Here is a 14,850-nt window from a genome sequence, read left to right as displayed (position 1 = left end):
TTTATAGATCTGTGTGTGTTGAACGAAACTTGCATTCCAGGGATGAAGACTACTTAATCATGGTAGATAAGCTTTTTGATGTGCTGCTAGATTCAGTTTGCCAGTATTTTGTTGAGGATTTTTGGTATCAATGTTTATCAAGGATATTGGCCCGAAGTTTTCTTTTTTGTTATATCTCTGCCAGGTGTTAGTATCAGGATGATGCTGGCCTCATAGAATGGGTTATGGGGGAGTCCCTGCTTTTCAATTGTTTGGAATAGTTTCAATAGGAATGGTACCAGCTCTTCTTTGTACCTCTGGTAGAGTTAAGCGGTGAATCCATCTGGTTATGGGCTTTTTTTGGTTGATAGGCTATTCATTACTGATTTGATTTCAGAGCTTGTTGTTGATCTGTTCAGGGACTCAGTTTCTTTCTGGTTCAGTCTTGGGAGGGTGTATGTGTCCAGGGATTTGTCCATTTCTTCTAGATTTTCAATTTGTGTGCATAGAGGTGTTCATAACATTCTCTCATGGTCGTTTTTATTTCTGTGGGTCAGTGGTAATATCCTCCATGTCATTTCTGATTGTGTTTATTTGAATTTTCTCTCTTTTCTTTTTTATTAGTCTAGTTAGCAGTCTATTTTATTAACTTTTTTTCAGAAAATTAGCTTCTGGATTTTTGATCTTTTGAAAGGTTTTTCATGTTTCTATCTCCTTTAGTTTAGCTCTGCTTTTGGTTATTTATTGTCTTCAGCTAGCTTTGTTATTTGTTCACTCTTGGTTTCCTAGTTCTTTTAGTTGTGATGTTAGGTTGTTAATTTCAGATCTTTTTAACATTTTGATGTGGGAATTTAGTGCTGTAAGTTTCCCTCTTAACACTGCATTAACTGGGTTCCAGAGATTTTGGTATGTTGTATTTTTGTTCTCATTAATTTCAAGATTTCTGCCTTAATTTTATTATTTATCCAACAGTTGTTCAGGAACAGGTTATTCAATTTCCATGTAATTTTGTGGGGTATTAATTTGTTTTCATGCTGCTATGATGAAATACCCCAGGCTGGGTAATTTGTAGAGAAAAGAGGTTTAATTGACTCACAGTTCCACATGGCTGGGGAGGCCTCAGGAAACTTATAGTCATGGCAGAAGGGGAAGCAAGCATGTTCTTTTTCACAAGGTGGCAGGAGAGAGAAGTACCAGCAGGGGAAATGTCAGATTCTTATAAAACCATCAGCTCTCCTGAGAACTCACTCACTATTATGAGAACAGCATGGAGGAAACTGCCCCCATGTTCTGATTACTTCCCACCAGGTTCCTCCCATGAGAGGTGGAGATTTTGGGAAGTACAATTCAAGAGGAGATTTTGGTGGGAGCACAGCCAAACCATATTATGTGGGTTTGAATGCATTTCTTAATCTTGATTTCTAATTTGATTGCACTGTGGTCTGAGAGATTGTTCATTATGATTTCAGTTCTTTTACATTTGCTGAGGAGTGTTTTACTTCTGATTATGTGACCAATTTTAGAGTAAGTGATGTGTGGCAATGAGAAGAATGTATATTCTGTTGTTCTGGGGTGTAGAGTTCTATAGATATCTGTCAGTTCCACTTGATCCAGAGTTGAGTTCAGGTCCTGAATATTTTTGTTAATTTTCTGTCTTGATGATAGAGATATTAGAAAATATTGTCAATGGGGTTTTAAAGTCTCCCACTATTATTGTGTGGGAGTCTAAGTCTCTTTGAAGGTCTCTAAGAACTTGCTTTATGAATCTGGGTGTTCCTGTTTTGGGTGCACATATATTTAGGACAGTTAGCTATTCTTGTTGAATTGAACCCTTTATCATTATGTAATACTCTTCTTTGTCTTTTTTGATATTTTTTGGTTTAAAGTCTTTTTTTGTTAGATGCTAGGATTGCAATCCCTGCTTTTTTCTGTTTTCTATTTGGTTGGTAAATTTTCCTCCATCCCTTTATTTTTAGCCTGTGTATGTTTTTGCGTGTGAGATGGGTCTCTTGAAGACAGCTTACCAGTGGGTCTTGGTTCTTTATCCAGCTTTTTACTCTGTGTCTTTTAATTGGAGCATTTAAGGTTAATACTGTTATGTATGGATTTGATCCTGTGATCATGATGCTAGCTGGTTATTTTGCAGACTTGTTTATGTAGTTGCTTTATAATGTCACTGGTCTGTATACTTCAGTGTATTTTTGTAGAGGCTGGCAACAGTTTTCCCTTTTTATATTTAGTGCTTCCTTCAGGAGCTTTTATAAAGCAGGTCTGGTGGTAACAAATTCCCTCAGAATTTGCTTGTCTGAAAAGGATCTTATTTCTTCTCTTATGAAGCTTAGTTTGGCTAGATATGTAATTCTGCATTGGAATTTCTTTTCTTTAAAAATGTTGAATATTGTCCCCCAATCTCTTCTGGCTTGCATGGTTTCTGCTGAGAGGTCCACTGTTAGTCCAATGGGCTTCCCTTTGTAGGTGGCCTCGCCTTTCTTTCCAGTGGCCTTTGACATTTTTTATTTCATTTTGACCTTGGAGGATCTGATGATTACATGTTTTGGGGACGATCTTCTTGTGGAGTAAGTATCTTACTGGGGTTCTCTGCATTTTCTGAATTTGAATGTTGGCTTCTGTAGGTAGGTCAGGGAAGTTCTCCTGGATGATATCCTGAATTATGTTATCCAAAATGGTCCCATTCTCCTCATCTTTTTCAGGTACCCCAATCAGTCATAGATTCAGTCTCTTTACATAATCCCATATTTCTTGGAGGTTTTGTTTATTCCTTTTCATTGTTTTTCTCTATTTTTGTCTGCCTGTGTTATTTCAGAATGACATTCTTCAAGCTCTGAGATTCTTTCTTCTGCTTGGCCTATTCTGCTATTAATACTTGTGATTGCATCGTGAAGTTCTTGTTGTGTTTTTTTCAGCTCTATCAGGTTGGTTATATTCCTCTCTATACTGGCTATTTTGGCTGTCAGCTCCTGCATTGTTTTATCATGATTCTTAGCTTCCTTGCATTGAGTTGCAAAGTGCTCCTTTAGCTCAGTGAAGTTCATTTTTTAGATCCACATTTGGAATCCTATTTCTATCATCTCAGCCATCTCAGCCTCAGTCCAGTTCTAAATCCCTGCTGGAGAGGTGTTGTGGTCATTTAGAGGAAAGGGAGCACACTGGATTTTTGAGTTTTCTGTGTTTTTGTGCTGATTCTTTCTCATCTTTGTTGGCTTATCTACCTTTGATCTTTGAGGTTGTTGACCTTTGGATGGGTTTTTGTTGTTGTTGTTCTTGTTGTTTTGCTCGTTTTTTCTTTGAACAGTCTGACCACTTTTCTGTAGGGCTGCTATGATTTGCTGGGCGGCTGCTTCAGACCCTAGTCACCTCAGTTTTTTCAGTACCTGTAGGTATTACCGGTGAAGGCTGCAAAACAGCAAAGATGGCAGCCTGCCCCTTCCTCTCAGAGCTCTGTCCCAGAGAAGTACTGACCTGTTGCCAGCCTGAATGCACCCATAGGATGTGGCTGGAAACCCTGTTTTGGAGGTCTCACCTAGTCAGGAGGAATGGGATCAGGGACCTCCTTAAAGAAGCAGCCTTCCTGCGTTTTTGTAGAGCAGCTGTGCTGTGTTTGGCTTCCCTTCACCCCCATATAGTTTTGCACTTTCCAAGGCCCACAGGTTGGACTGGGTGAGATGCCCAAACAGCACAGGTGGCAGCCCACCTGGCCCCCTGGGCACTCCATCACAGGGAGAAATTAGAACTTTGTCAGCCATAGAACATGGGTGAGGGTGGTTGGAAGCACTGGTTGGGAGGACCTGCCCAGCAAGGAGGAATGGATTGGGGTTCTATTTAAAGAAGCAGTCTGGCCACACCTTGACAAAACAGCCATGCGTTGCTGGGGATCCATCTCTGCCTGTATTGGCTTGGATTCTGCAAAGCCTACAGGCTGGAATGGGCTCAAAGCAACATTGGCAGCTCATCCCTCCCCACTGGGCACTCCAGCCAAGGGAGAGATCAGAGTTCTTTCCTAGAATATGGGCAGGGGTGGCTGGAGGTCCCTATTGGGAAGTCCTGCCCAGTGGGGTGGAATGGATTGGGGTCCCACTTAAAGAAGTAGTCTGGCCACATTTTCATAGAGCAGCTGTGCTGTGCTGTGCTGGGGGTCCCTTACTTGTCCAGACTGTTTGGACTCTCCAAAGCCCACAGACTTGAACAGCTGAGTTGTCCAAATAACAAAGGTGACAGCCCACCCCTTTCCCTGGCAGCTCCATTCCATCTCAGGCAGGCACTACCCTGTTGCTGGTGGCTGGCTGAAGTTCCAAGCCAGTGGGTCTTATTTTGTGAGGTGCCTTGGAAATGGGGCCCACAGATGGACGCTGTTCAGCTCCCTGGATTCGGCCCCCTTCCTAGGGGTATGTATGGACCTCCCGCCTTGACTGAGTTGTAGTCACCTTTGCCAGGGATCCTGTGGCTGGGGTATGTAAATCTCCTGGGTCTCTGTGCATACCTGAGTGGCTGCCCTGCTGAGACTCCACACAGCTCTGTGTATCTGACCCAAGGTCCTGGTGGAGTGGGTTTATGAGGGGATCTCCTGATCTGAGGGTTGCAAAGATCCATGGGAGAAATGTGGTTTCCCAGGGTGGCACATTCACTTACCACTTCCTTGGCTGGGGTGGGGGTTCCCTTGGCTTTGCGTCACTTCCAGGTGGGCTATCATCCTGCCCTACTTTTCTCTGTTTTCTGTGGATTGGTTATTTCCCTGATCAGTCCCAGTGCGAAAACCTGGATATTTCAGTTGAAGGTGCTGTATTTACTCACTGCTTTTCTTCCTCTTTATGAGTGCCATGCACCATAGCTACTTCTAATTGGAGGTCTCGGCCCACTCTCTGCTCTTCATCTTTCTCAATTCTCTTTTCTGTATTTTTGTCTGACTGTGTTAATTGAAAGAATTGCTCTTTGAGCTCTCAGATTCTTTCCTCAGCTTGGTCTATTCTGCTGTTAATACTTCCAATTATATTATGTAATTTTTGTAGTGAATTTTTCAGCTCAAGAAATTAAGTTTTTGTCTCTCTTTAAGTGAGAATTTCACCTTTCAGCCCTTGAATCATTTTACTGGATTGCTTGGCTTCCTTGGATTGAGTTTCAACTTTCTTCTTGATCTCAATGAGCTTCTTTGCCATCCATATTTTGAATTCTATGTCTGTCATTTCAGATAATTCAGACTGGTTAGGAAACATTTCTGGGGAGCTAGTGGGCTCATTTGGAGGTAAGGGGGCAGTGTGGCTTTTTGAATTGCCAGAGTTCTTATGCTGATTCTTTCTCATCTGGGAGGGATGGTATTCTTTTAATTGTGGTGTAAATTGAGTGTACTTTGTTGGCTTTGTTTCTGAAAGTTTTTAGAGAACTAAGGCTCTGTATGGTGTCTTCGTTGCAGAATTCTTACTCTTGGTTTTGCAAGGGCAGGATTAGTAAAGTGATTTTGGTGTTGTAGTTTGGGCTACAATCTAGTAGATGGTCCTTGAGAGCAATGGGCAGTAGATAGGCTTCTACTCAGCCTTGTGGTTCCTTTGTCTATGTTAACATTTGCAGCTGTGTTCTGCAGTGCAAGGGGGAAATAGATGACCCCCTCATCAGGTCTGCTTGGGGGAGCCACATCCAATCACTAGCACTGTACCTTCGATTTTGTTGTTGTTTTTATTAGGTCTTTGGGGCCACGGGGCTCCCTTAGGGAGAGGTCTGGTATGGAAATAACCCATATCCTTACTGGACCAATCCCCTTCCCCAGGTACCTTTCCAGTTTGGAAATCAGCCTTAGCATTCAGGCACCCCACATTGGGTGCCTAACTTCCTTCTTCTTCAGTCTCTGGGACTGCATCTTTTCTCAATCCATGTTTGGTAGTTTCTCTCTGAAGATTTGTTCAAATTATGTTGGTGTATATTAAATTGGGTCTCTTTCTGTGGGAGTGGCAATTTCTGACTGTATCTAGTCCCAATCTATATTTTAAAAGTATGGCAAGTTTTGAATTTTCAGTATATGCTGAAACTGGGTGGTTTTTAAAGAGCAGAAATTTATTTCTCATAGTTCTGGAGGCTCAGGAGTTCAAGATCAAGGCACTGACAGGTGTGATCTTGTGAGGGCTGCTTTTGCTTCCAAGCTGATGCTCTGTTGCTGTCCTAATGTGGTGGGAGGTGGAAGGGGAAAAGGGTCACTTTTATGATGTCATTTATTTTAATGTGATCACTAGTCATCAGTATTTTTTGTTTTGTTTTTGTTTACTTTTTGTATTTGCCTAGGAATAGCCTATATGAAAATTTTATATCTGAAGTATACACAACACTTAGTCCAGGATCATATTATTAGATAAGCACTCACATTTGAGGATGACAGCAAAGTTTTTTAATTGATAGAGTTTCTTAATTTAGTTGTAAATTTCTCTGTAATTTAATTCTAATATTCTTTTCTAAGTGGTTTTAAATTTAGCCTTATGGTTCAGTGTATTAGAAGCAAAGTCCAATAAAATTACATCTTTATAATATCCTGTAAGACATTAAATTACATATTATTAATTCCACTTTTGAAAAGTAATTAGGATCTAATAACTGCCAATAGCAATTGCATACATTCACTAAAATTTACTTGTTTGTGTATATAATTTGGGGGTTATTTTCAAAAATTATGTGGTTTGCAGTGGATTATTTATTAGCACTTAAAATTTTCCACATGAAAAATAAGCCTTTGATTACCAAACAAAGGGATATGATCTCAATATCATCTTCTTCCTAAAGTATTTATTCCAGAGTGAATATCAGGATGCCCATTTGTAGGGAGACAAAATCTATCTGAAATTATTTTCCCGTGAATTGCTCATTTTTATTGTTCTCATAATCAACACAAGATGTTAAAATAAATGTATTTGTAAGCTTATTTCTTATTTCATAATACATCTGTAACATTTATTTAAAAGTAAATCTATTCAAAATATTGGAGAATCATTTGTTATACTTTGTCACAGTACTTTGACATGTTTATGGGTGATAGATTGTTAGATGTGGGAACAATATAGTTACAAATGACAAGCACTCACAACAGAGTAAAATTCTTATTGGCATCTTGAAGGTTTTGGTATATGTATTCAAGAGTTTCTGTGATTTTAAAGATTGTAATTAAATTGAACAATGAGAACACATGGACATAGGAAGGGGAACATCACACACCGGGGACTGTTGTGGGGTGGGGGGAGGTGGGAGGGAATAGCATTAGGAGATATACCTAATGCTAAATGATGAGTTAATGGGTGCAGCACACCAACATGGCCCATGTATACATATGTAACAAACCTGCATGTTGTGCACATGTACCCTAAAACTTAAAGTATAATAAAAAAAAATTGTAATTAAAATATAACTATAGAAATTCTTCCACTTTTCTGACTATGTAGTAGATGCAGAATTCATGAATGTGTACTTGATCTATGGTACTGAAGTATTTTGGGAGATACAAAAGTTTAAAACAGTCTTGGTTACCATAATGCTTATAGTTATTTGAGACTTATGAAAATTATCAGAAACATAAGACAAACTTTGGTAAGTACCTTAATGGAGGAAAAGATCTCCAACAGTTGACAGGATCAGGGAAGTCTGAACTAAGGACATAGGATGTGAGTTGGGTGGTGAAGATCAGGTATTATTTTAACAAGGAGAAATGGAGGGTGTTCTACCTGGAAAAAACCTTGGGAGATGTTGTAAAAGTGAGAAAGCATAAAATGCCCAGTATATTTGGATTACATGGTAGAAAATGGTGTTGAAAGAGTTAGGATGGGACAGAGCATGGAGTGTTGTCAATGACTTAGCCAAAAACTGCAAATTTTATTTGATTACTAATGAAATGATTTACAATTTTGATGAGAGTCTAGGGGATTTAATGTGACAATTGTATATTCATTTAATGAAAAAATGCTGATAAAATGCTATAAAATTAATAATATTGGTTTTACAATTTGAGCAAAGGTGGTACTTGTCTGTCACTCTAACAAATTCGTTTATAGTTGACCCTTGAACAACAAGGATTTGAACTGTGCAGGTGCATTTATATGTAGATTTTAAAAAATAAAAGCTACATGGAGGGTGCCTGTCTCTCTTGCCTCCCTTTCTGCCTCCTCCATCTCTTCTGCCTCTGCCCCCACTGAGACAGCAAGACCCACCCTTTCTCTTTCTCCTCCTCCTCATCCTACTCAGTGTGAAGACAACAAGGATGAAGGCCTTCATGATAATCCACTTCCACTTAATGAATAGTGTATTCGTTCTGTTCTCATGCTGCTAATAAAGACATATCTGAGACTGGGTAATTTATGAAGGAAAGAGGCTTAATTGACTCACAGTTCAACATGGCTGGAAGGCCTCAGGAAACTTACAATCATGGCAGAAGGGGAAGTAAACATGTCCTTCTTCACGTGGAGACAGGAAGGAGGAGTGCCAAGCAAAAGGGGGAAAAGCCCCTTATAAAACCATCAGATCTCATGAGAACTCACTCACTATCATGAAAGCAACAGTGTAGAGGTAACCACCCAGATGATTCAATTACCTCCCACCAGGTACCCTCCCATGACACGTGGGGATTATGGGAACTAAATTCAAGATAAGATTTGGGTAGGGACACAGCCAAACCATATCATTCCACCCCTGGCTCCTCCCAAATCTTGTGTCATCACATTTTAAAACACAATCATGCCTTCCTAACAGTCCCCCAAAGTCTTAACTCATTCCAGCATTAACCCAAAAGTACAAGTCCAAAGTCTCATCTGAGATAAGGCAAGTCCCTTCCACCTATGAGCCTATAAAATCAAAAGCAAGTTAGTTACTTCCTAGGTAAAATGGGGGTACAGGTGTTGAGTAAATACACCTGTTCCAAGTGGGCAAAATTGGTCAAAACAAAGGGGCTACAGGCCCCATGCAAGTCCAAGATCCAATAGGGCAGTCATTAAACCTTAAAGTTCCAAAATGCTCTTTGACTTCATGTCTCACATCTAGGGTACACTGACACAAGAGGTGGGCTCCCATGGCCTTGGGCAGCTCTGCCCATGTGGCTTTTCAGGGTATAGCAACCCTCCTGGCTACTTTCACTGGCTGGCATTGAGTGTCTGCTGCTTTTCCAGCCACAAGCTCTTAGCAGATCTACCATTCTGGGGTCTGGAGGACAGTGGCCCTCTTCTCACAACTCCATTTGACAGTGCCCCAGTGGAGACTCTGTGTGGGGGCTCCCACACCACATTTCCCTTCCACACTTCCTAGCAGAGGTTCTCCATGAGGGCTCTGCCTCTGCAACAAACTTCTGCCTAGACATCCAAGCATTTCCATACATCCTCTGAAATCTAGGCAGAGGTTCCTAAACCTCAGTTTTTGACTTCTGTGCACCCACAGGCTCAACACCATGTGGAAGCTGCCAAGGCTTGGGGCTTGCACCCTCTGAAGCCATAGCCTGAGCTGTACCTTGACCCCTTTTAGCCATGTCTGGAGCAGCTGGGATGCAGGGCACCAAGTCCCAAGTCTGCATACAGCAGGGGGGCCCTGGGCTCTGCCCATGAAATCATTATTTTCTCCTAGGCCTCTATGCCTGTAATGGGAGGGGCTGCTGTGATGGTCTCTGACATGGCCTGGAGACATTTTAGCCATTGTCTTGGTGATTACATTTGGCCTTGTTACTTATGCAAGTTTCTGCAGCAGGCTTGAATTTCTCCCCAGAAAATGGGCTTTTCTATTCTATTGCATCCTCAGGCTGCAAATTTTCCGAACTTTTATGCTCTGCTTCCTCTTGAATGCTTTGTCACTTAGAAATTTATTCTGCCAGATACCCTAAATTATCTCTCTCAAGTTCAAAGTTCCACAAGTCTCTAGGGCAGGGGCAAAATGCTGCCAGTTTCTTTGTTACAGAATGACAAGAGTCACCTTTGCTCCAGTTCCCAAAAAGTTCCTCCTCTCCATCTGAGATCACCTCAGCCTGGACTTTATTGTCCATATCACTATCAGCATTTTGGTCAAAGCTGTTCAACAAATCTCTAGGAAGTTCCAAACTTTCCCACACCTTCCTGTCTTCTGAGCTCTCCTAGTCTCTAGGATGTTCCAAACTTCCCCACATTTTCATGTTTTCTTCTGAGCCCTCTAAACTGTTCCAACCTCTGCTTGTGACCCAGTTCCAAAGTTGCTTCCATATTTTTGGGTGTCTTTACAGCAGCACCCCACTCTCTGTGGTACCAATATACTGTATTAGTCCATTCTCATGCTGGTAATAAAGACATATGTAAGACTGGGTAATTTATAAAGGAAAGAGGTTTAATTGACTCACGGTTCAGAATGGCTGGGGAGGCCTCAGGAAACTTACAACATGGCGAAGGGGAAGCAAACATATGGTGCCAGGAAGGAGAAGTCCAATCAAAACGGGGGAAAGCCCCTTATAAAACCATCAGCTCTTGTGAGAACTCACTCACTATCACAATAACAGCAGCATGGGGTAACTGCCCCCACGATTCAATTACCTCCCACCGTGTCCCTCCCATGACACATGGGGATTATGGAAACTACAATTCAAGATGAGATTTGGGTGGGGACAGAGCCAAACCATATCAAATAATAAATATATTTTCTCTTTTTTATGATTGTTTTAACAACATTTTCTTTTCTTTAGCTTGCTTTATAACATACAAAATGTTTGTTAATTGTTTATGTTATTGGTAAGGCTTCTGATCAACAGTAGACATTCCTGTTAAATTTTGGGGAAGTTGAAAGTTATATGCAGCTGAAAATCTGTGTGGGGTTTGACACTCCTAACTCCCATGTTATTCAGTGGTCATCTGTACATTGATTTTGATGCTTATAATAAAACATGATCAAATTACATAGCTGGAATGATAATTTTACCAATATGATAATTTTGATGATGATACCATATTAATAATGATAATATCTATTGAATTTAGTCAAATGTCAGAAGCATCTTATTTAATATTTTATTTGAATGTTCTTTTTTATAGTGTCATCATCAAATAAATTATAAGTTTAAACATATAATCCTATTTTTCTAGATTCATATTGAGTTTCAACTTTGTGTCTTCCTAGGATATATTCTGTTTCCTTTCTGAATAATTGATGTTTACAAGTTGATGTTGTTATTTGCTTTCAGATAGTTTTGTGATTATTTCTTTTTGGTTACAGTAATCATCTAAAGAAATTTTTATGTCATTTAAAATTTTCAATGATCTTTCTTTAAAAATATACTCTGCTTTTATTTTACAAACATACATTTAAAGTGATGTTTTTAAATGTTAATTTAATATTTACTGTTAATAATACTAAAAAATATACATAGATAGGCAGCTTAATATATTGGAAAGAGCTCTGAAATGGAAACCAAGACTTGTGGCTTTGCCATTAAACTAATTATTGCCTTGAGGTCACCCTGAAATCCTCTACTTTCTTGTTTGTAAAGTAGGGAAATAATTCTATCCACATAGGTTGTTGGGGGATTAAATTGGATAGTGGGATTAATGGAAATGTTAAAAAATCTTAACTATTGTTGTTATGTAATGTCATCATTTAGAATATATGTTGTTATAATCTGAAAATGTTTCCTACTATTCACATTCTGAAATTTGTTCCATTATGCTTCTGTTAGTTCTGTTTGTACTTTTCCAATATAGATATTGCTATGATGTACTAATCTAAGTTTAAAGGAAAGTGCTGGATCTAAATTTTCTACCACTTCCCTGCCTGCTGCTGTCAGCACCATAGTGTTGATGTTTTGTGTTAACACTATGAAGGGAATTTATGAGAATAATTAGTTTTGTGTTGCTTATATTAGAGCTGGTTATCTTAATTCTTGCTTGGTGGGAGGTGTGTTCCTTGCCATCATTTGGCTCCTGGCCCACAGCTTTAAATTATGTGGAGGAGAAAATGATTATAAATGGCTCCTTCCTGTGGTGTCCCTTACAGTTTTTCTCCTAACAGAAAGTCTCTTAGTTTTTTCTCATCAATTTCTCCTTGTGTTGCAGTCTAAAGTGATGTCCCATCTGCTGGTCAAGCTGCAAAGCAATTCTTTTAAGCATCATTAGCCTATGGTTAAGAATTAGATTCCTTTTTTTGAGAATAAATTTTAATTGGTTATGGTTTTTACTGAAATGAGTTGATTAGATGTGTAGAGAAACTGCTATAATTTTTCATGTTTAAGGGAAAGCCAATAAAATATATATGAGGAGAAAGTGTACTTAAGAATTATTTAAGATAAATTTGGTGGGGGAAAATCTGCAAGTGTAAAAATCAGGATTAAAATAGATGCTTTCAATGTTTCTTTTTGTTGATGGTGAATAACTGATGTAGTATATCATGTTTTTGACATCTTTGGGCATATAAGCCAAATTTTATAGAATTTTTGATTTATATTCTTATGATAGCTTTTCAATTTGTCAGTTCTTTGCCTATGATGTGCCTGCTGAGCATGAAAGGCACTTTTGAGCTATGTAGTAATAAAAAAAAATGCCACAAATACATTGGCCCAGGGGATAGGCTTTCTGTAAAAATGACCTGAATAACTACAGTTGCTGTAAATAATTTTTATGGATATTTGATGCTCCCTCCCTGTATTTTTGTTTGAATTAGTAATCAGATTGGTATTTTACTAACATCCTGGAGGTGAGAATTGTCATTCTAATACAGGTATTATAATGCAATATCTGGCTGGGTCATACTGGATCAGAATGACCTTAGCCAGTATTGTGCAGAAATGTTGTAAGATTTTGGAGAATTACTCTTTCTTTGTAAAAAGGTAACTCTGTGGCAGGTACTGTGTAGTGCTAAGATTCTTAAGGGGTATTTCAAAGCAAACATGCCTCTTATAGCTGTCTGTGCTATCTTTCATTTTATGAAAGATTTTATGTATTTTACAATACTGATGTCAGCTGCTGTTTTACAGCATTGCCCACTTCCCATACTGATTTAACTAACGGGCTTCTTTTTTTTTTTTTGATATTCATTCTTCTATTCATGCTCCATTATTGATACGGTGTACCTTAAATACTGAGATATAAAGTTAAGCATTATTAACACATCTTATTTTACATGATTAGGGAATGAGGGAAGAAAGAAAATAAAGTAAACATTGTGTATGTGATATCACACACACAAAAGAGTCATATTTATATAAAGATAAGAAATACTCATAATTAAGTTAGTCCATATATCCGCAACTGGTCTCATCGTTATAGCTGGTATGTTTAAACAGCTTCTTCCACTACCATTTTTATATCCTTTGCCCCCAGCAAGAACTTCAGTTTGTTTAATTTCTTGCCTGATGAAGTTACCTAAATCATTATTGCTGAAGGATCTGGGTGATTATCAGTCCATCCTGAATTGAGCTGTGCTAGTTTTCCACTGATTTCAATCACAAGAAATGAGAATACTAATAAGCACTCTGGAAGATCTCCTCCATTTCAGGTATATATATCTTTTTATTTTTTAGTAGAAACCTAATTTTACCTTGATAGCTAGAAGAATCACTCCAACTAGTACAGAAACCCCATTTGTTGCCTGTTAATTGAAGGCCCTAATTTGGCTGGGTCAAGTCTCAATGTCTAGTTCAATGCAATCATTATTGCATTATCACTTGATAGAAGCATTACTTCCTTTGAAATTAAGATCTCTAAACTCACAGGGCCTAAAATAATGGCAATGAGCGGCAAAAGTTTGCTAGTATATCACCTGAAGAAATAGTGATAGTACATTCTAATTTTTTTTCCCTCCTTTTGATTCCTTGACCCATACATTTGGACTGTAAGCGATATGGCACCACACATGTATGCTGACCATGCAGAATATACTGGGGATATTACTTCAGCTCTGAAAAGTGTTGCCATATGGCTGACATCATAAATGAGTCTTCAAAAAGCCATTCCACCATACTATTATCCATGCTATGAAGAAAATCATGGCAAGATTAGTTAATTTCATGAGCAAGGGCCCTTTGCCACATTTTATTTGCTGTAAAATAAATTCCTTGGTCAACAATGATGGTATGAGTAATAATATGATCCTGAATAAGGTATTCTGTAGCACACAGATGGTATTGTTGGCAGATTTTGAATTCAGCAGTTTCTGTGACCAGTAAATATTGATGAGTAGAAGTCCATACTGCAGGTCTGAGGTAAATCTTCCTCCCTGTCATCATGGCCACATTCTTTTTATTTTTATTTTTATTTATTTTTTTTTTATTATTATACTTTAAGTTTTAGGGTACATGTGTACATTGTGCAGGCTAGTTACATATGTATACATGTGCCATGCTGGTGCGCTGCACCCACTAACTCATCATCTAGCATTAGGTATATCTCCCAATGCTATCCCTCCTGCTTCCCCCCACCCCACAACAGTCCCCAGAGTGTGATGTTCCCCTTCCTGTGTCCATGTGTTCTCATTGTTCAATTCCCACCTATGAGTGAGAATATGCGGTGTTTGGTTTTTTGTTCTTGTGATAGTTTACTGAGAATGATGATTTCCAATTTCATCCATGTCCCTACAAAGGACATGAACTCATCATTTTTTATGGCTGCATAGTATTCCATGGTGTATATGTGCCACATTTTCTTAATCCAGTCTATCATTGATGGACATTTGGGTTGGTTCCAAGTCTTTGCTCTTGTGAAGAGTGCCGCAATAAACATACGTGTGCATGCGTCTTTATAGCAGCATGATTTATAGTCCTTTGGGTATATACCCAGTAATGGGATGGCTGGGTCAAATGGTATTTGTAGTTCTAGATCCCTGAGGAATCACCACACTGACTTCCACAATGGTTGAAGTAGTTTACAGTCCCACCAACAGTGTAAAAGTGTTCCTATT

At 38.9% G+C, this 14,850-nt stretch overlaps 1 protein-coding gene and 1 non-coding gene across 8 annotated transcripts in view; both read left to right on the top strand.

Moving 5' to 3' along the window:
* The window catches only part of CTNNA3 (catenin alpha 3), a 1,851,072-nt gene that overhangs the window by 356,314 nt on the left and 1,479,908 nt on the right, over positions 1-14,850 (top strand). The window lies entirely within an intron of this gene.
* MIR7151 (microRNA 7151) lies at positions 3,871-3,930 on the top strand. The gene has a single exon (NR_106973.1). It is a non-coding gene; the product is annotated as a microRNA 7151 (primary transcript).

The sequence above is a fragment of the Homo sapiens genome, chromosome 10 (assembly GCF_000001405.40).
Source record: "Homo sapiens chromosome 10, GRCh38.p14 Primary Assembly".
In the NCBI taxonomy this organism is placed as follows: domain Eukaryota; kingdom Metazoa; phylum Chordata; class Mammalia; order Primates; family Hominidae; genus Homo; species Homo sapiens.
The sequence above is the reverse complement of the archived record's forward strand: the minus strand, read 5'-3'. Positions and strand labels throughout refer to the sequence as shown.